The 21497-nt window shown below is 37.8% G+C and overlaps 1 protein-coding gene, 1 long non-coding RNA gene and 1 pseudogene across 3 annotated transcripts in view; 1 reads left to right on the forward strand and 2 right to left on the reverse strand.

The window, feature by feature from the left end:
- The window catches only part of DLEU7 (deleted in lymphocytic leukemia 7), a 132914-nt gene that overhangs the window by 97222 nt on the left and 14195 nt on the right, over nt 1-21497 (reverse strand). The window contains exon 2 of one of the 2 annotated variants that reach the window (NM_001306135.2): nt 14658-15273. The exons of the other annotated variant lie outside the window; for it this stretch is intronic. Coding sequence (NP_001293064.1) covers nt 15067-15273 — 207 coding nt within the window. The 3' untranslated portion in view covers nt 14658-15066. Of the gene's footprint in view, nt 1-14657; nt 15274-21497 lie in introns of those variants that run through there. 2 annotated transcript variants of the gene reach the window in all.
- DLEU7-AS1 (DLEU7 antisense RNA 1) overlaps nt 1-21497 on the forward strand; it is a 42051-nt gene that overhangs the window by 393 nt on the left and 20161 nt on the right. Inside the window, exons 2-3 of the long non-coding RNA NR_046551.1 lie at nt 293-459; nt 10274-10345. This is a non-coding gene — a long non-coding RNA (DLEU7 antisense RNA 1). The remainder of the gene's footprint in view (nt 1-292; nt 460-10273; nt 10346-21497) is intronic.
- On the reverse strand, nt 4741-4859 carry RNA5SP28 (RNA, 5S ribosomal pseudogene 28; annotated as a pseudogene).

Consider the following 21497-nt stretch of genomic DNA (forward strand, 5'->3'; position numbering starts at 1 on the left):
CAATCAATATCAAGTCTGGCATATCATTGGCTATCACTATCCAGTGAGTATCTGAGGCAGCTGAAAGAAATTGGGGCATCCATGTAAGAATATTCATTTTCTATCATTATTTACTTAAATATGTAATATATCAAGATCTGTTAGACATATTTAAGTATATATACTTATATGAGGTTGGGGGTCCCTGCAAGAAGTACCAAGTGTTTCTAGAAGAAATGTACTTGAATATAATCGCTGTATAATCACTGTGAGAACAGAGTTCCATATCTGTCCTGTACATGCTTGTCTCTAGTACCTGGAGCAGTATCTGACACAGATATGTGTTGAGTGAATGGATGAATAAATAGATAGAAGGAAGATCCTCCAACTATGAAGTTTCTTCTTTTCTTCTGCTGCTGTTGAGTAGATGAGGGTGCCAAGAAATAAGACAGCAACACCAGGAAGAAGAACAAATTTGGGGTGAGTAGGGGTGGAAAGGATGACTGATTTATAAATTGGGTTTAGGAGCCAAGAGTTATGCTCTAGCAATTGGGTATAGTAGAAGATATTTAAATAAGAAATTGCTGATATTCTTGCAAACTGAGCTTTTCTGTAAAATCATGAGTTTAGAATTCTTTATTTCAGAAGGAAAAAAAAAAACTTAGAAAGGTCAGTTGGAACAAAAAGGGAAATTAAAAAGCCACAGAGAGAAACAACTATGGTGTCCTGGGGTACATTTAAAATAAGAAGGTACTTAAGCAAAATCATTGCGTTGAGGACATTTTCTTAAATAGGATCAATTACCAGTGTCCCAGTCAATTCCACATGTCAAGAAGCTTGTCTACCTACTTGACTGACCCAGGCCTAAAAATGATAATAGCAACTTGGTGGAGTTATCTAAAGTTTGACAACCTTTCCTCACCAACCGGCAGCCCCATAGGACATATTAATCACTGCAGTTTTTACCTTGTACCAGATATTTAGAAAGTAAAACCGAAGAAATTTATTTCCATGTGTTTTGGTTGAAAAAAAGAGACGTTTCACTCAATCTATTCCAGAAAATATAGCCACTTTGGGACTGAACATTTCTTTCCATCTTAGCCCAAAGGCAATCACATTAGGGACGTTGTATGCAATTGGGGTGATAAAAATTGAGCTGTGGTCTAACCTATTGCATAATTTTCATTCTAAAATTACTTGACGCCGGACATAATGGCCCCATCAGTCAACCTATCATCTGGCTAGTTAAATGAAGTAAAATAACCTCAGCTGGTCTCAGAGGAGTGAGAATTCAACTGCCTGAGGGGTTGAGATTTCCTGAGAGTTTGTTCTGGATCTCTGTTGGGTCAGCCAGCATGCAATCTTACCTTCTGTCTCCACGGAAAAGCCCATTCAGGCCAAGGGAGAAGCTGCTTTAGATGAAGGCTGTAACCCAAGATGGAAACACTTAACCAGGCCAAAAACACTTTTTTCTTTTTGGTGGATCCAGTGCACAATGATTGTTCCTAATTAGGAGGTCTGACTTGAAAAGTTCTCCCCAAATGCCAGGAGAAAGTTCTCCTTAAGTGTCTTTGCAAAAAAGATACAGTGGGACAGAAAGTCAGTATTGATTTAAGGAACACAGCTGCATAAACAATGTTCATTCACCACAAGAAGAAAATTTATAGTATTTGTCAGGGAAAAGTAAACACGTTAGGGACTCTGTTTGTGACACAGTGTCACACATGATCCTTTGAGCCAGCAGGGACAAGAACAGATCAACAACAGAAGCAGCTTTCTCATGATGCTTGGGGTAGCACTTTTTTTTTTTTAACCTAACCCATTTTCTGCTTCATATTTTAAGAGGACATTACATTCAGACCATTGATACGTCTGTGGATGTTGGGGAAAGAGAGGAAACTATAGTGATGAGTCCTCTACCATCCTCATTCTCTATACTTTCCGGAAAAGAAATTCTGGAAAAAAAAAAAAAAAAAGCTAAAAAGCTAAATTCTCTTAAGAATTTCAGTGGTTGTAGGCATTCACTCCTGAAGCTATTTTTCCCCCAGGTTTGGGATTTGGCCCAGCCTTACAGAAATGTTTTCCAGACTTTAAATTTCATGGAGAGTTAAAATTGGTTTTAAACCCAATACAGAGTTTCCATCTTTTAATTTTACAAAGAAAGGTCATCTAAACAAAACAATATGTTTCTACCATCTATTATTACCTTTGCTTTCTATAAGATATGAATGTTTTAATACCAAAAGGGAAAGGCAAGAAAAGCAAGGATAAAAGCCTCAAAATAAAGGATAAAGCCCAATCCTTCTCATTTAGCTATTGAAAGTTGAAGACTATATCAGTAAGTGGCCCTGGTCCACAGACGGGCATTTGGAAATCACCGCATTAGGGGAAAGGCCACCGGGAATGTCTTGTGCCAAGGGCTGTAGAACACAGAGGTGTTTTGTTGTGTGTGGTTCATGCAGAGCTGTCATACCCATAGCTGTTCATCATACCCGTATCTCAGCAATCTATAAGTGTTGTTAAAGGGGCCTTGGGAGGAATTCAACTGTTGTGAATTTTTTAGTTTATTTTAAAGTTTGGCAAAATTTATATTATACATCCCTGGATTCTTAAATCTTTAAAGCCCAGTGGAATTTCAAAGAGCTTAATGATGTTTTCCTTTTAATGATCTTGACCCCAGAAATTCATTTTTAAAAGTAGTGTTACAGAGATAGAAAGTGTTCTGAACATTTTCAGGATAACCTGTGGTACCAGTGAACATACACAGACTTCCTAGGGGTTCCATGCAGGAAAGTGTGTATGTGTGTGCTTGTATGGGTATGCATGTGTGTGCCTGCATCTGTTTGCATGTGTGTGCATGCGTGGCAGCTGGAAGCACCTACCAGGGAGAGCCCTACTTTTGCTTGTCAGGGCCCCAGAAAACTGCAACTTATTGCTCTGACTTAAATTGGCAAACTATAAAGGTCACTTTTGGTCCTTTTTAGAAAACATCTAACCAGAAAAGGGAAGTGCAAATTAGAACAGTTTAGGCAGAAACTGAAAGTTAAGAACCGAGGGAAGGCCTTTAGAAAGAGAAGTAACCAGAGAGGTGAGAGGAAGAACACCAAGAAGAAGGAGTGCTCATATATGCCAGACTTCTTACAAGGAGTCCTCAGGCCTCCAGCAATCCATGGCTTTACTGAGAGCTTTCTCCTCTATATAGCACTCCTATCTATTAAATAGACATGCGTAAAATTGGCTAAAACCTCCTGTCCCAGAAAGGATTGTGATGATGGGCATTTCTGAGAGGGAAGTCTGCTCACCTGTGAAACGTTCCTGGCAGAACTTCTGTGGCTCAGTCCAGGAAGAAAATGGACCCATCAAATGGGTTTAGCATTGAGGCTCCCTTCCTAGCCATTGCCAGCCTTCCAGCACTAGCCACATGGCCTGCGGATGCTAAGTAGGAAAGCCTAGCTGCCCCAACAACCTGATGTGTTTTAGCTTTAGGGCCTTACAGAGGGAAGCCTGGATCAGGAGTTAGAAGAACTGGACTTGTCTTCATATTTAAATGCCTGTAAGATGTCTGGGCATGGTGGCTCATGCCTGTAATCACATCACTTCGGGAGGCCAAGGCAGGCGGATCACTTGAGGTCAGGAGTTAGAGACCAGCCTGGCCAACATGGCGAAACCCCATCTCTACTAAAAATACAAAAAATCAGCTGGGCATGGTGGCAGACTCCTATAATCCCAGCTACTCCAGAGGCTGAGGTAGGAGAATCACTTGAACCCAGGAGGCAGCAGCTGCAGTGAGCCAAGATCATACCATTGCACTCCAGCCTGGGTGACAGAGCGAGATTCCATCTCAAAAAAAAAAAAAAAAAAAATCTGTAAGATGAAGAAAGTTGGTGAATATCAGTGGGGTGTTTTGTTTTATTTTATTCACTGATTTACGGTATTTTTTTCAGTAGCAGAACCTATTTTCAATAGAAATGCGATTTGAAAATCAATATAAATGCATAAATATAGAAGCAGCTTGATGGTGTGTAGAAGGGGCTGCAGGAGTGGACACTGGATCTCAGACCTGAGGGGCCCCCGTGGACACTGCTGATCCCAACTGCTCTGAGAAACTCCTCTTGAGACCTCCGGCGAAGATGCATTTCGGGTTTGACTGACATTCTTCCAGCCCTCACATCTGCTGACTCAGGGCTAGTGCTACAGAAATCCCACTTGGGTGTGCACATGTGGTTAACATTTTCAAAGGGGAGTTTTAGTCTGTATGTAGGGTAAAGGCAAGAAAGGCCATGACAAGATCAACAGTTTACTCAAAACTAAGCCCAAGAAAAGCAGTTATAAAGGTCCTGTCTCCATGCATCTGAGGTGTAGCACAGCCCCTACCACAGTTATGTCTGCAGAGGGGCATAAACTTCAGTCTATAAAAACAAACAGCTTTACATCAATCACAATTAGGATTCAGGGTGTTACTTGTTGATATATGTGAATAGTTACATATAGCTATATATGTATAAATAGTTACATATAGCTATATACGTATAAATCCAGTTATACATATGTATGTATATGTATAAGTCTTCTCAGTAAAGCCATAGGTAAATAAATATTTAAAGTAATGGAGGAAATTCTTAACATGAAAGTAGCAAAGACTGTAGAATGACAGAAAAAAACCTCTAAAAATTAAAACTTCTGCTTAAGGTTTGATTTGAGCTGTTGCCTTTGAAAACCCAAATGGTCCGAAAAGATAAAACACCAAATAAATTTCTTTTAAGCCCACAGCACCCGTTATTCCCACGTGATCCCTTATTCAGATACTAACCAGGCCCGCCCCAGCTTAGCTTTCAAGATCAGATGGAACCAGACACGTTCAAGGTGGTATGGCGGTAGACTAAGATTTTTCTGACTAATGCATGGATACCAGAACTCTTTGGTGTCTAGTTTGAGAGCTGTGTCATATGAAATATATACTTACATTGATCTATGTGAGTTTCACTAAAATGCTGTAAGCTTCAGGAAGGATGACTGAGAGTTTAAATTTCCTTCCTTACATCACTAAAAAACTCTGTAATTTGTTTGAGACTTTTTATATCCAATATATATACACTTAGATAACTGATAGAGGTCTTTGCTTTAAACATCGAAGTGATAACCCTGGAATTATATGGTAAAATAAACAAGTGCTATGTGTTATGGCTCAGCTTAGGAAATACCATGCATTATTTTTCAATAGTTCTGTTTTCCACAGTGTATTTATTTCTTATAAATTATACAAATTTCCCTCTGATTAGATTGAAATAGAGATTCTAGGAGATTTTTTCCATAAAAGCATTATTATCTACTTTAAAAATAAAGAGCAAATGTCATTTTTTGATCTTTGAAATAATTAACTCATTTATATTAAGGAGACTGAGCTTCCGTATTTCATGGCTAGAATAACAAAAAAGAAATCACAAAAATGGCATTTTAAGCAATATATATATTTTAAATTGGATCAAATTCAACATGGTAATTTTTAAATTAGTGAGGGATTACCAATCTCACCTGATAGATCAAATAAGCAGTATATTTTAGTCTGAACTCCAGAAAAATGCATTAGAAACGTGAAAGGCTGGTTCTGTGTCTATTTGAGTGAAGTCATTGTCACCACTACAATATTTTAAGGGATCTCTTGTGAAGTGAAAATGTGGGAAATAACTTAAAAGTCAGACCCACACTTGGAAATATTCAGCTCATGCCATTTGTGATATGGGTTTGGGAAAGAGAAGTCCACATATAGACGTTCATTCTGTCAGACCAAGGTGAGAGAATGCTTGCTTTCACTTCAACCACTTAGATGAAGATTTTGATAATAGTCATTTTTTAATATAGAGCTTACCAACTTCATGGCATTATTCAGGTATGAACATTGCCAACAGATTTCACAAAAACAGTTTTATTTAGGAAATGAACTTTGGAAAGAAGAAAGTGAAAAAAATAGAAGTTGACTCCATGATTCCTTAGCTCTCCTCTACAAGGTAATCCAGTCTCAGTCCGGAAGCCAGAATCAATGCTGATAAAATGCTGAGCAACCCAGACGAATCATCTATCCACCCATCCATCCATCCATCCATCCATCTATCCATTCACCCAGGCAGCCAGCCAGCCAGCCGTCCACTCACTCACTCATATTTTTAGAGGAACTAAAGAGTCTAGTTCCTGTGACTAAGTTGAGTTTTAGTTTATTTATATAAATTATGTTGTTTCAACAACAAACTAATAATAATGAACAATAATACCTAGCATATTGATAGTTTGGATAGTTACAATCCAATTGTAAGTAATGATTACATGTCTAACATTAGACAAAGAAACAAAAAGAACATAAAGAACCCAATTGGGCCAACCAACATGGCTGTGGGGAATCAAGGTTCTGTATCTTGATTGTGGTGGTAGTTATACAAATCTATACACTACATAGAACTACACACACACACACACACACACACACACTCGCATGAAAACTGATGAAAACAGTTTTCATCAGTTTTTACATGTATTCATGTGAGTGTGTGTGTGTGTGTGTGTGTGTGTAGTTCTATGCAATTTAATCCTGTGTATGTACTGTACCAATCCAGTTAACAGTACTGTACCAATGTAAGTTTCCTGGTTTTGCTATTGTACTACAGTCATACAAGTTATCGTCATTTGGGTTGGGTGAAGAATTCATCAGACTCCATGTACTAGATTTTGCCACTATGAATCTATAATCTGTGAATAATTTATGAACAGAATCTATAAATCTATAATTCTATTTAAATAAAAGGTAAAAAATGGAGATATAGTTATCTAGACAAATATTAAAGTGTCTGAGTTATTTATTTGGCAAACTGTTTTTCACTTGTGACACAGGTTTGCTAAGAGTCTCCCTCTTTTTCCCCCGCCAAGAACTCATTTTATTTGTTATCAACAGTGTTTAAAACCTGTAGCTAAAAGACATCTTGGAAATTGTAATGTAATGATAATTAATGCATAGAAGTCCATTTGGGAGCATGTTAGATACGTAATCATTACTTACAATTGCACGTCATTCTGAAATTTCTCACTTCTTTGAATAACCATTGTCGACAGAAAAATCTCTACACTCAAAGATCTTTTAAACCTATATATCAGTCTACTGAAATGAGGGGAAGGAAATGAGAGGGAACAGCTGTAAATCATGTGTTTATTGATACAAAAAATTACACACACATATACGCACACATACAGAGCCTTACTGAGTTTATTGGATTTCTTATCAATTCTTTTTCAATTGTTTCTATACTGACTAGATCAACTATTGAGCAGGTTCATTCATTAAAACACCTGGAAACAATGGACTAGCTGTATTCTGCAAGCAGACTAGAGGGTGGCTTGCATTTGAGCTAGGCCCAAGAAATGTAGGAATGTTTGCTTCTAAATGCTCTAGATGAACTTGAAGTAGACTGTCCCACAGGCCCACTTATGGTGCATGTGAATTTGTGAATGTTTTGTGATTTAATGGTACAACATTTTCCCTAAAGAAGCAAGTCCCAGAAAACAGGAGCAAAACAACTTTTAGTGCAACCTCATGACTATGCAGTAATTCCAGCCCCATTAACTTTAGAGCTTCTGATACTACTAACCAACAAAACTACCCCACTTTTTTATGAAAAATTCAAAAATTTGCTTCAAGAACAGGAAATATTCTTGAGGGGGGGCTGCAGAAAAGTACAATTTTATAATATAAAGTGGGTATCATGGTAAACATTTAAATTTAATTAAGCAAAAGTGTGAGGTCAATTACATCAAATGTGTTCTGAGTTTGTCTTCAATACCCTCTTGTCTCTCATTCATTAATCTCATCTCAGCCCCTCTCTGTCTTGGGCCACATTCCACGTAATTGTGGCAAAGGCAGTTAGAAGGCTATTAATTCCATTATGGTTTATATGACTGTTCTTTTATACATAAATAAAGTTAACAGAATGAGATAACTTTTATCTCATTCTCTCCCTTTCATCCTTCAATTAAACTTGCTGCAAGGCAAGAAAATGGATAGAATAGCTTATTTCTATTCCCTCTGAGTATGCCAATTAATGCAATGTGAGTGTAAACAGTAATCCTGCTATACACTCATATACTTCCATTCTGAGTTACAGAGGAAATAGGTGTCTAACAAGTATCATGTAAACTGAGACTGGAAGAGAGGCAAGGGAATATATAAAAAATGGAAGGAAAAGAAAGACCAACGTCTGTTAACTTTATTTATGTATAAAAGAATAGTTAGCCATAAAAACATAATGCCATTAATAGCCTTCTAAATGCCTTTGCCACAATTCTGTGGAATGTGGCCCAAGACAGAGAGGGGCTGAGATAAGATTAAAGAATGAGAGACAAGAGGGTATCAAAGACAAACTCAGAGGACTGAATGAGGCTGTGTATAAAAGAGCATCAGCACTTCCCAGACGTTATGAAAAGTGTCATTTGTGAGGAGAACTATATTTTTTCATATGGGCAAATCAACAAACCAAGTGCATTTGAGGAATTCTTTAAGGTGGGTCTGTGGATATCCCAAGGACATTAATTTTCCAGATTATCCCACTGCTTTCTTCATGTTTGGGATTACAGCATCAGGCTTAGTGTACCTCTTCCCCTCTCCTCCCTCCATCTGCACTACCCCCGCCACACACACACACGGCGCCAAGCTTTGCTGTTCTCCTGTACTCTTGAGCTCCATTCAGAGCTGGAATACAGGTGCAGGGAGGCAGGGGTCTTTGCAGAACCTCCTCTCTCCCTTTTGTACCAATCTAAGCCAACATTGTCTTCTCCAACTTGTTTCTAGGATCCCTGTGAATTGGTTTTTCTGCCAGATACCCTTATGCTCCATAGGCATTTTGTAATGGTTTTTTTTAAGGAAAAAGAAAATAAAGCCGTGATTATTATCAAAGTCTCCACCAAGTCAAGGGGAACAAATTATTGGTACTTCTGTGCCAGGAAAGATTTCTGCCAACCTTGGAAGTGTCTCCTGAATTATGACTGCATGCATGGAGCAGATATGAACTTGTCTGCAAAAAGAGAAATTTATAAACTATGGATCAGCTTCAAATACCATTTCTATTGAGCAAAGCAGTAAACATGTCACATCCAACAAAGGTAAAGCTCTCTGGTAACACATACTAGGGCTGTGACAGCCTAGACCTTTGGTTCTGGTATGTAGCTAAGTGAAACCAGGACTGTGGTAATTTCTTGGCTGTAGAATGGAACACTGGGATCCCTGATGAGGACACCCAGATGATATGGAACACTGCTAGTTGAAGTTCTGCTGAATTAAATGTGTCTTGAAACTCACGGATCTACAAGATTTGTACTCCTCTCAGATAGATTTACTGCATGAGGATCTGGCACCAGAGCATGAAGGAAAAATGGAAAATGGAGCCAACTGTTGGAGGGAGTTTTAAGATGTGGAAGATTTGGTTCTTGCAGTCCTATGTTCTGTCAGAAGCAAGTGTCCAGATGGCTTCCTACCCTCCAAAGGCCTTCATTTAAATCAAGAAATGGAAAACAGCCAAAGAAACCTGAAGATAGTTCCTCAATCAGTGTAAGGCAGGCAGTCAAAAGGATGTAAGATAAGCTGATCTGGGAGCTCTTAGAGCTCCCAGGAAATTACAGAATACAGTGAGGAGAGCATCTCAAGACAAGAGAAGGGGACAAGTGCCATCTTGTCACTCCTGTATCCAGCTCTAACTAAAAGATCACCAGTATGTCCCCAACTTTTATTCTATAAGAAAATGTGTTTCCACCATCCAGAAATTCATTACTATAGATCATCTAAAAATAAGAATTAAAGGAAATAGGAGGGTGAAACAGTTAAGGAAATTCAATGGAGAAAACATCAGATGATGTGACTTTTTTCAGAGTTATAAAAGGACATCCACAACCTGTCTTTATGCACGTGTCACACATTACCCAAGGTACTACATGGTCTTAAATTTAAAAAACACAGTCTGACTTTGAAGTGAGAGAGAAAAGGAAAAGCACTACATGGGAAAATTGAGGAGAAAAGGCCACTCAGAATGGCCCAGGCTGGCCCAGTCATTGTTAGGATGACCATCACAATTATTAATCATTTATTGAGTGATTGCTACATGATTGTTTTTAACTCAACATCTGCCTAAAATGCACTGATCAATTTAATCCTTAAAATGATTCTTTTCACTTTTTTTGGGTTTAGATATTTACCAAAAAACGTAAGTGACTAACCACATGACTTAATTCATCAAATATTTATTGAGCTGTTAACCTGTTCTAGGCACTGCTGCTGTACTGAGAATACAGCTGTGAACAACATCCCTGTCGCTTTCGTTCTAGAGAGGAAAAACAGGTATGTTCATTTCTTATGGCTGCTGCAACAGATTACGGCAAACTGGGTGGCTTCTAACAATGGAAATGTATTCTCTTATGGTTCTGAAGACCAGAAGCCCCAAATCAAGATGGCCCCAGTGCAGCACTCCCTCTGAAGGCGCTAGAGAATTTGCTTCTGGCCTCTTTCAGCTTCTGGTAGCTGTCAGCATTCCCTGACTGTGGGCCCGTCACTGTACTCTGTTCCCATGGGCACATTGCTTCCTCCTCTTATGCCTGTGTTCTCTCCCTTTGCCTTCTTCTTATAAGCACATTTGTGATGGCATTTGGGGTCCACCCAGATAATCCCAAACAATTTCACCACAATATCCCTAATGTAATCACATCTGTTACCATCTAAGGTAATATTCACTTTATTGCAATATATGATAATATTCACAGGTCCCTTTGATTAAGATAAACATAACTTTTGGGGCCACCATTTAGCCACTACAACAGGCAATAAAAACATAAACAAATTCAGGCCATTGTGAGAGCAACAAAGAAAACAAAGCAGGGAATAGGGATAAGAGAGTAAAAGGGGATGCTATTTTTGCTGAGGGAGCTAGAGAGGGCCTCCCTAATGTGGAGGCTTTGGAGCAGAGACCTCCTTGAAATAGATGAGAAACGTTGTTCTGGCAGAGGGAAGAGCAAGTGCAAAGGCCATAGGATTAATCGTTGTCATATTTGAAGAGGTGAGTGGTAAAGAGACTCGTGTCTTAGGTGTGTAGTAGGAGATGGTTCCAAAAGGCAGAATTTGGATTTTATTCTGAGTAAAAAGGGAAGCTATTGGTAGAGCAGAGACATAATTGATCTAACGTTTTTTACTGTGGCTGATGTGTGGAGAATAGACTATAGAGAGCAGAGAAATACTATGACCCCTCAGAGAGGTACTGCAATATTCCAGACAGGAGACAATAGTGCCTAGGACCAGAATAGTGGCTATGGAAGTAGTGAGAAGTGATCTGATTTGAGACATGTTTTGAAGGTTGACCCAACAGGATTTGCTGATTGAGTGAATTTAGGTGACACTAATAGGGAAGTCAAGGATGTCGCTAATGTTTTTTGCCTGTGTGACTGGAAGTATAAGAGCCATAGCCAACTGAAATTTGAAAGATGGCAGAGAAGCAGTCTTGGGAATCCATAATTCCATTTTGGAATTTGAAATGACTTTCGGCATCCAAGTAGAGATATTCTGTAGTCAGTTGAACACAGAAGTCTGGAGCTCAGGGTGAAAGACATACATTGGGCATCATTAGTGAATAGCCAGTATTGTAAATCACCAACTAGTAGGTGTAGTTAGAGAAAAGGACCAAAACTGAGCCCCAAAGCACTACACAATTAAGAAATCAAGAGATGTGGAAGAACCAGGACAAAGGTCTGGAAAGTAAGCCAGTGAAGAAGTAAAACCATGAAAGTCTGCTGACCTGGAAAACAAATAAGAAAGTGACTCAAGGAGGGAATAGTCAGCCGCATCAAAAGCTGATGATAGATCAAGTAATATGAGGATTGTGAATCTACCATGGAATTTATCAGTGAGACAGTCATCAGGAGTCTTGACAAGAGAAGTTTTGATGGCGTTGTGGGCACAAATCCATTTGGAGTGGATTCAAAAGGGAATTGGACAAAAAGAATTGTAAGTAACTAATTTGGACAATTATTCCAATGAGTTTTGCTGTTAAGAGGAGCAAAAAAAAACAAAACAGTAGCCAGAGGAATTTTTTTTTGAATTGGAGATACTATAACATAATATCATGCTGACTCAATGATATTATGAGAGGCAAAAATTGATAATGCAAGCAAGAGAATGAATGTGAGTGAGAAGGGACAGAGTCCAGAGCCTTAGTGGCCAACCAGCCTTGCACAGGAGCAGGGCAGCCCTGCTTATAACAGAAACAAACTCAGAGTACCTGTGTACAGATTCAGGGTAGGTAGATCTGCTAGGGAGACGAGGAACATGCTCTTCTGATGGCTTCCATTGTCCCTGTGCAATCAGAAGCAAGCTCATCAGCTGAGAATGAGAAGAGTAAACAAGGGTAAAGTTTGAAAAGGTGTGGAAGAGCCTTCAGAGAGTGAATTGTTAAGGCCAGCAGTGAATTATCTAGTGGATTTTCCAGAACAGCGCTATCTCATAGAAATATAATGCAAACCATCCATGGAATATTAAGTTTTCTAGTACCCATATTGAAAACATGAAAAGAAATAGGTACAATTAATTTTAGTGGTATATTTTACTTAACCCAACATATTCAAAATATTATCATTTCAACACGTAATCAGTATAAACAGTATCAAGATATTTTAGATTCTTTTTTTTTAGTAATAAGTTTTCAAAAGCCAGTGTGCATTTTACATTTTCAGCACATCTCAATTCAGATGAGCCACATTTTAAGTGCTCAGTAGCCACGTGCGGCCAGTGCTACCATACTGAACATTGCAGGTCTAGGAAATGAAGTAGGGCTAATGGAGAATGCCAAGGGTCCCTGGAGACTGGGAGCCACGAGCTGAAGTGAGATTGGTATGGCTGGGTGTTTTTCTCCAGCCATATTCAGAGCTCCTCTACAGACGTTGAGTAGGCAGAGAGTTGGACTTGACCAGGGATTGAGTTTTGCAAGCAGCATTCAACCAAAGGGAAAAAAGGGAAGGGAACTGGTGGCATGTGGCACCAATTGATTATGCAGACTGACCATAGAACATAAGACACCAAAGTTAGCATGGGGTGGGGGAGGGGTGTAAAAAGGTGGTAGGGGCAACCAAAGTTCTAGTAGCATCATAGAACTTTAAGAACTGTAGATGCTATGCAACATACAAAGATGTCTAGATAATCCCTATCTTCAGCAAGCTAATCTTGACAGCAGATTTACCAACAGCTATGCTATTAAGATATCATGTGATAAACACCAGAAAAGTAGCACAAAATGTGTTCTATGGGAGTTTAGAAGAGGAAGAGTTCACCTCTGGCTAGGATGGCCCATGAGGGTTCATGGAGGGGGTGGTGGGTAAGTCAGATCTTGAAGGATGAATAGGATTTTTGTCAGCATATAGGAAACATGGTACAAAGTGAGGAAAAAGCACAAGCACAGACAGAAAATAAAAAATGTTCACTATTTCGTTGGGTAAGGTAAAAAAAAACAAAAAACCTTAATATTCGTTGAGGGAATCATTAATTACAATAGGGTAGGCAGCATATAAATAATGATGGGTCTTGAAAGAAAAGTACAGAGCTAATTTCCCTGGGGGAAGAAAGACCTCATCATAAAAGAAAGGCATCGCCCCAGAATACAACGTTTCTTAGGTGTGGGAAAACTGAGTGGCAAAGATTATTCTCAAGAAATAAATGCCCACCGCTTCTCAGCCTTTTGGCTAAGATCAAGTGAAGAAATAAATGCCCTTTATTTCTGGCCCACCTCACCCCTACACACACTCATGCACATGTACACACATGAGCGCACACACACACACACACGCATGCACACAGACACACAGAGCATCTGCCTTTCCCTTAGAATTCAGTATCATATACTTAGTTCCCTTCTCTGGAAATGGTCAGTTACGTCCAAAGAGAAGCAATATGTTTACCTTTCATTCTCAGATTCTGGAAGAAAACATTTAGAACCAACTAGGATTAGAGTGGGTGAGATTAAAAAGGCTTTGATTACTATTAACACCTTAGAAATAGTACTGTACTCCCACCACGCAGACCCAGTTGATGATTCTTTTAGAAAACAAGCTGCACATAATCACTATAATCTTTTTTTTCTAAATCTGTTGCTGTTTCTATTAAAATTTTAAGGGAAAAAATAGCATTTTACTTTGGCTCTCAACACAGTCATCATTGAACAACAAGAAATTTAGTTTTTCCGAAGTATGTGTGGACTGTTGTTGAAAAAAAAAAAATCACCTTCTCTCTTCCCGGCTCTAAACGGTTTGGGAAACCTGCCAGTAGATCCACTCCTTTCCTTTTTTTAAAGAATTTCCTACTTCAATCAGAATATTTAGAAACAGTAAAAGCTAGACTTTTCCACATGAGACTTTAATAATACTGTGCTTTGTATTTACATATCATACATGATTGGTACTTCATAGCTCACTATCACTTTAAGTTTTTAAATTAGTATATAAAAGCACAAGGTTTAGAAGCAACTCTTCTCTGCTCAACAGTAAGTTATTAATGTCAGGATTGAAGCTCATAATTACTGACACATATAGTCCTACAAAGATCGTTCTTATAAAAGGAAGTGTCCAGTAAGTATTAATAGAACAAAGCAATTATCAAATATCTCATTCATTCAAGGTAATTTTAAGAACCATGGAACTTTAATTATATAAATAACCACATTAAACCCTTTAGACCTACATTAATATGAATACAAATTAAGGTATCATTCAATAAAAACTAATAATATGAATAAATATATACATACATAATCAAATCAGCTTCACAAAGTAGAATGTATTTCAATCAGAAAGTCAGCAAATAGGTCAATATACTTAAAAATATGAACTACTGCTTTAAAAAAATTTCATTAACATGCTATAATCCCGAAGGCTACAGATGCCACTGGTCAGACTGCTCCACGTACCATCAAGTCTTTCCCCTTTGGATATAAAAATATCCATTGTCTGCTGACTCAATTAGGAAGGTAAGGTATCTGGTTCTCTTAACAGTGCTGGCTGTGGTTTTACTCCCGATGCCTTTAACACTCATATGTCTGGGAGATTCTGTAAGATCTGTCTCAAGGAAGCACAGGCTACCATGTGGGCATCTGAAGGAAAATTAGCAAGTGACTGAATCAGCTTCTTGACTATTGTCTTCAAACACTGGTGGGCAGCATTCAAGTCTCTGTCAAACTGCTGTCCTTCAATCTGTAGAGCCAAATGACTGCAGATGTTTCTAAACTCAACACTATCCTGAAATGAACAACAAACACAAACAAGAAATTAGATAGGTTATGGGGGCCAATTGTTGTACTTTGCTTACCCAGCTTCCATTCTTTTCTCTTCTGGTGACAGCACTCTGGTTTTTTTTTTTCTTGGAAAACTACACCCCATTCTTAGCCTATGCAGTTGGACCAAAGCTGATCACAACTCCAGGGCCCAGGCCAATCACAGTGTGGACTGATCAGAATGGACAGATGATCTAAGCCAAGGCCAATAGGCCACAGGCCCAGAATATCTGCTAGACAAGACCTAAAGAGGATCTGCTATCCTCTTTAACTGAGGCTATTGGAAAATATCTTGCCACCATAAGGATAGCATCCAAATGAGAATGCAGCCAACACAGAAGAAAGGAGAACCAAGAGATTAAAAGAGCCAGATTCTAATCTAATACTTTCTGAGTATGTGGCTCTAGCTATACTTGAACAATAAACCCCAAGATTTTTTGGCCATCTGGGTCAATAAATATCACTTTTTTACTTAACCCAGTTGGACTTGAGTTTCTATTACTTGTTCCTAAAAGAACTGTGACAAATACACAAATAGCCTGTGTTTCTATTATCCCATACTCACTGTGTTCGGTAGTTCAGTATTCCAATACAGAATTTGTTATTTAATTGACATGGTCTCAAGAAATCCCCAAATGCCAATTTAGAAAGAACAGTTCCCAGGTAGTTTAAAAGAAGGAGGTAATTCTATATTTTTAATCCCTAAATGGTTTATTTTCTAAAATCCATTGCAAATAAATGGTACATTTGGATGATTCCACATCAAAGATAATGCTGAATATAAGATCTCTTTTCAGTATAGGGAAATGACATCCCCTGGACTTCTGGGTCTGGCAACAAAACTATAACTTAGTTTTCCTAAGGAATTCTCTTTGCTACTGAATTCCTAAAACTCTAAATAAAAATAGGGCAAACATCCTTTCTGAGCTTGCAAGAAAATAAGAGAAATCTCTCAGAAGCCAAAAATTTTTTAAAGATTATTTTAGCTGCCTACCAATACTATGAAGAAATGAAAGTTAGTCTCTCTTGGGCTGGGTTTGGGATGGAGAGTAAAGTTGTCCCTGAGAATGTGTAATAGAGGACCTGTATCACACAGTCATTTGACTTTGGAATTACCCTCTGTACTAGATGAACATCCTGGGAACACTCATGCTAAGAAATTAACTTAAAATTTTGAACTGGGCTGAAATAGCCATGAACACATAGCAAAAACAAACAAAAACCTATTCCAGGGAAACGTGTCTGCAACCATTGCCCTACAATAGTATTTGCATAATGCCTATGTTGAAGATGGAGTCAAAATATGAAATTTAAAATACAATCTACCGTGATATAGCAGATGCAATGTGGGACAAGATTAAACTCTAAGAATTTAAAATAGAGACTATAAAATATATTTTAAATCAGCAGTCTCCAACATTTTGGCATCAGGGACCAGTTTTGCAGAAGACAATTTTTTTCCATGGCTGGTGGTGGCAAATGGTGTCGAGATGAAACTGTGAAACTGTTCACCTCTGATCATCAGGCATTAGATTCTCTCTTTTTTTTTAAGAGATGAGATGATAATTTTTTTTAGTTTAGTCAAATAATTAGTCATCCTTAAGTATTTCTGCATGCTTTATCAAATAAAAATTATTTTATGATTGGCAAAATTTTCTTGTTACCAATTATAAAATAAACCCAGTATGCACCTTAAAAAATCACAATCTTTTTCCTGAAAGGCAGATCACAACATGCTGACTATTTCATAATAAATTGAAGGTGAACAAAGGAGAAAATGCAGTACGTTTGTACTTTGAAAAGAAACTAATTTCTAATACTTATGTGTCACCTTAATACTCATGTGTCACCTTATTCTGGCTGGCATATAGTAGATGGCCCACAAGTGTTCAGTGATTGAATGAATGATTGGATGAATACATATTATTCTTGAAAAAAATCATCTCAATAATTACTTCCTGATCATACTGGATACTGTCAGGTATAGTTTCAGAAAATATTCTGTAATTTAATTAATAAAACCAAGAATTAGAAGAAAGAAAATTTGCTGCTAAAGTACTGCCAAATATCCAGTTGTGTGGTGTGAATTTGGTAGCTTCGATAAGGCCTTCTTATTTACTCTAAAAATTTCTAATATTTTACTTGTTGTATTAGCCACCTATTATCTGATGATGAGTGGCTGGAATTTCTCTGTTAAATCTTCATTCTCTTAGCCCTAGTTTTACAATGATATTTAAGTGCAATCATTCTTGCAGATATTAACAGGAACACCTAGTGCTTTTCTTAACAACAAATTGAACTAAGATTATTATTTTTTATTATACTTTAAGTTCTAGGGTACATGTGCACAACGTGCAGGTTTGTTACATACGTATACATGTGCCATGTTGGTGTGCTGCACCCATTAACTCGTCATTTACATTAGGTATATCTCCTAATGCTATCCCTCCCCCCTCCCCCGACCCCACGACAGGCCCCGATGTGTGATGTTCCCCACCCGGTGTCCAGGTGTTCTCATTGTTCAATTCCCACCTGTGAGAAGGAGCACACAACCTAGATCCTTCTCATGCTCAATTCACAATAGGGTTTGTGCTCCTATGAGAATCTAATGCTGCTGCTGATACAACAGGAGGAGGAGCTCAGGTGATAATGCTTGCTAACCTACTGCTTATCTCCTACTGTGCGGTGTGGTTCCTAACAGGCCACAGACCAGTTCCTGTTCATGGCCCAGGGGTTAGGGACCTGTGCCTTAAGTGATTAAAGATATAGAAGAAGAAATCAGAAAAGCGTTTTAAGAAAAAACAGGCTTGCAAAAGAAGCCCATCCACTTCTAAAAAATGATAATTATAGTAGAAATTTAAAACCTAATTGACAGCTTAAACACCTGATTAAATATATATAAAGTGAGGATGAGGAAACCAGATAATAAATATGAAAAAAATACCTTAGAATGCAAGATTACAAGTTGAAGATGTGGGAAATATGAATGAGAAGTTGAACAACATGGATGACAGAATGAGAAAGTCCAACGAACACTTCTAGGAGAACAACAGACAGAATGAGAAAGAGGCAATATTCAAAGAGAACAATGGATTAGAATTATACAGAGTAGATCCAAAACAGAAATCTTTATATTAAGGAAGTAAAATATGTCATAGGGAGAACAAGTTAAGTGAAATCCAAATCTAAACTCATCGAGGCAAAATTACTCTTAAAGGCAATCAGAAAGAAAAATACAGATGGACTTCAACGAATGACAAGACAGCAGCTGATTTCTCACCACAACAATAGAGAAGACAATGGAATAATAGCTTCAAATAACTGTCAACCTAGAATTTTTTTTTTATTCCTACCAAACTATCATTTAAAACTCAGGGAAAAATAAATATGCTCTCATTTAAAAGGGCAGAATTACCACTAATAGACTCTCACAGTTAGATATTTCTGAAGACATAATTCTGAGAGGAAATTCAACTGAAAATGGCTGAGATTCAGGATGCAACAGTGAACAAAGAAACTCAAACACATGGTATAAATCTAAAGAATTCATTGTTCAAAACAAAAATTATAAAAACGAACGTGGAGTTTAGGACATCTAAATGTGGTAAATGAATGACGGTTCATTTTGGAGCAAGATGTTTCTCAAATGCTGAACAGCAGTGACATGTCGAATGGAGTGGCACTCTAAGCACTGTATTATTCAAGAGAAAGGTGGCAAGCTCATAAATATCAGACTTGTTAGGTACATGTGTGAAAAATGTAAGAGTTATTATTAAAAGTAGAGAAATAATACATAAAACTTCAAAATCAGCAGAGGGAAAAGATGAATTAAAATTTTATTGGCTGGGCACAGTGGCTCATGCCTGTAATCCCAACACTTTGGGAGGCTAAGGCAAGCAGATTGCTTGACTCCAGGAGTTCGAGACCAGCCTGGGCTACATGGCAAAACCCTGTCTCTAAAAAAAAAAAAAAATGCAAAAATTATCTGGGCAAGAGGGCATGCACCTGTGGTCCCAGCTACTCAGGAGGCTGAGGTGGGAGGATCACATTGAGCCCAGGAGGTCAAGGCTGCAGTGAGCAATGATCATGCCATTGCTCTCCAGCCTGGGCAACAGAGCGAGACCCTGTCTCAAAGAAAAAGAAAAAACAGATTATTGACCTTATGTATATAGAAAGTAAACTTGAGAAATAAAGATACAAACATAAGGCAAGGTAAACAGAAAGCACTAAAAAAGATAGTAGTAAGCCTACACATATCAGAAAGCACAACAAGTGCAAAGCAATAAACTCACCTTTTGGAAGATAATGATTACTATATTGGTTTTATATGCTGTTTACAAGAAACACATTTAAATCTAAAACCACATAAAGATTGAAAGTGAATGGATATTTAAATATATGCCAAGCAAAGAGAAGCCAAAATAAAACCAAAAAAAATCATTATTTGGGATGAAATAAAACTATGACTAATAAAATGAATGATTCCCCAAGCAGATGTCACAATTTTGTACCTGTATGTCCCTAATATGATAATCATAACATACATTCAGTCTACACACATACAAGCTGATTTTAACCTAGCTTCCTCTGAAACTAGATAGATCAAACAACAAAACAGAGAAAGACTGAAAAACACTAATCACAAGCTTGAGCCAATGGAAATAAGAAAATATACATTATTGTCAAACATATGTGGACTATTTATAAAGCTGTCTATATTATAATGTCACAAAGCAAATCTCAACAAATATCAGAAAGACTCTATCATGCAAATCACAATGCAAATAAATGAGAAATCAATAACATAGATACCCTTCCCAAAACATGTGTGACTTAGAAAACCCACTTCTAAATAATTCATGGATCAGTGAAAAAATAATTGAAAGTTTCAAATACTTTATACTGAACTATATCACAAATTTGTGGGATGTAGCCACAGTGAGAAACACTTTGACTTAAATGATTATGTAAATAAAGAATAATCCCTGAAAATCCATGAGCTAAAAATTCAACTCAATAATGTAGGAAAAGAGAAACAGATACTGTCACTCAAAAAAAATGGAAGGAAGAACTAAAAGTTGAACCAAAGTTTGATGAGGGACCAGAGTTTCCTTCCTAATTCTGTCTATAAGGGGAAACTATTCTTCTCCCTATGAAAAACCCTGTTTTTTGACCGAGAAGGACCTGGGTTTCTGACAAAGTGCTTATTAGAAAACATCCCTCAGAAACAAAACCAATGTTCATTTCAACTTAGCAAACAGTGGCAGCAGGACCACCTGCGAGCTAGGTGCCAGGACAGAACCATACCATGCTCAAGGATTCGCAAGCTACCATACTTTTTGTTCTTTTCTCTTTAAAGCATTCTTGCTTCCCTACCTTTGTGTGTTGCTCATTTCTGCCCAGAAGGTGTCAAAGAGCTGTTAAGATCAAGCCTGTCCAACCTGTGGCTCAAGATGGCATTGAATGCAGCCCAACACAAATTTGTAAATTTTCTTAAAACACTGTAAGATTTTTTTTGTGATTTTTAAAAAAAATTTAGCTCATCAGCTATCAGTAGTGTTAGTGTATTTTATGTGTGGCCCAAGACAATTCTTCTAATGTGGCCCAGGGAAGCCAAAAAATTGGACATCCCTGCTGTAGATGACCTGTCCCATAGCTTATGGGGTGGCCTGTGTGCTGAAGCATACTGCTAGGGAATGGGAAAGTAGGAGAGAAAAATCACTCTGGACTATTTCCTCAAGATCCACATCAAGGAAAATTGTCCGATTGCTTTATAGAAGTAATCCAATACTAACTACAAAGTATAAGGATCAAAGAAAACATGCAAGGGGAAATTCAAAATAGAAGGAACCACTAAAACGTGTGCTGACATGTGCCTATTAGCCAGTATGCAAAGGAATTCATCACCCAAAGAAGACTAAAATGCCTTTAAAAATATAGTTGTGGGCAGAAAACCTGAAGTCAATTTCATGTTTTACTGTAAAGAATCAAAGAAGGTGTTGCTTGGGGAAATTACATGTACAATAAAATTCGACTGCTGGGCTGTACTGGTCCCTGAGGCCCTGGGCAAACTTCAGATCTCTGGCAAGCTTTGCAAACTCACTTTATTTTACTATTCTAGTACAGTATTTCCTTTTTATCCTTTCTCAAATATATTAGCAAAGAAAACAAATTAATAGGAATAGGCTT

This window comes from Homo sapiens, chromosome 13 (assembly GCF_000001405.40).
Source record: "Homo sapiens chromosome 13, GRCh38.p14 Primary Assembly".
In the NCBI taxonomy this organism is placed as follows: Eukaryota; Metazoa; Chordata; class Mammalia; order Primates; family Hominidae; genus Homo; species Homo sapiens.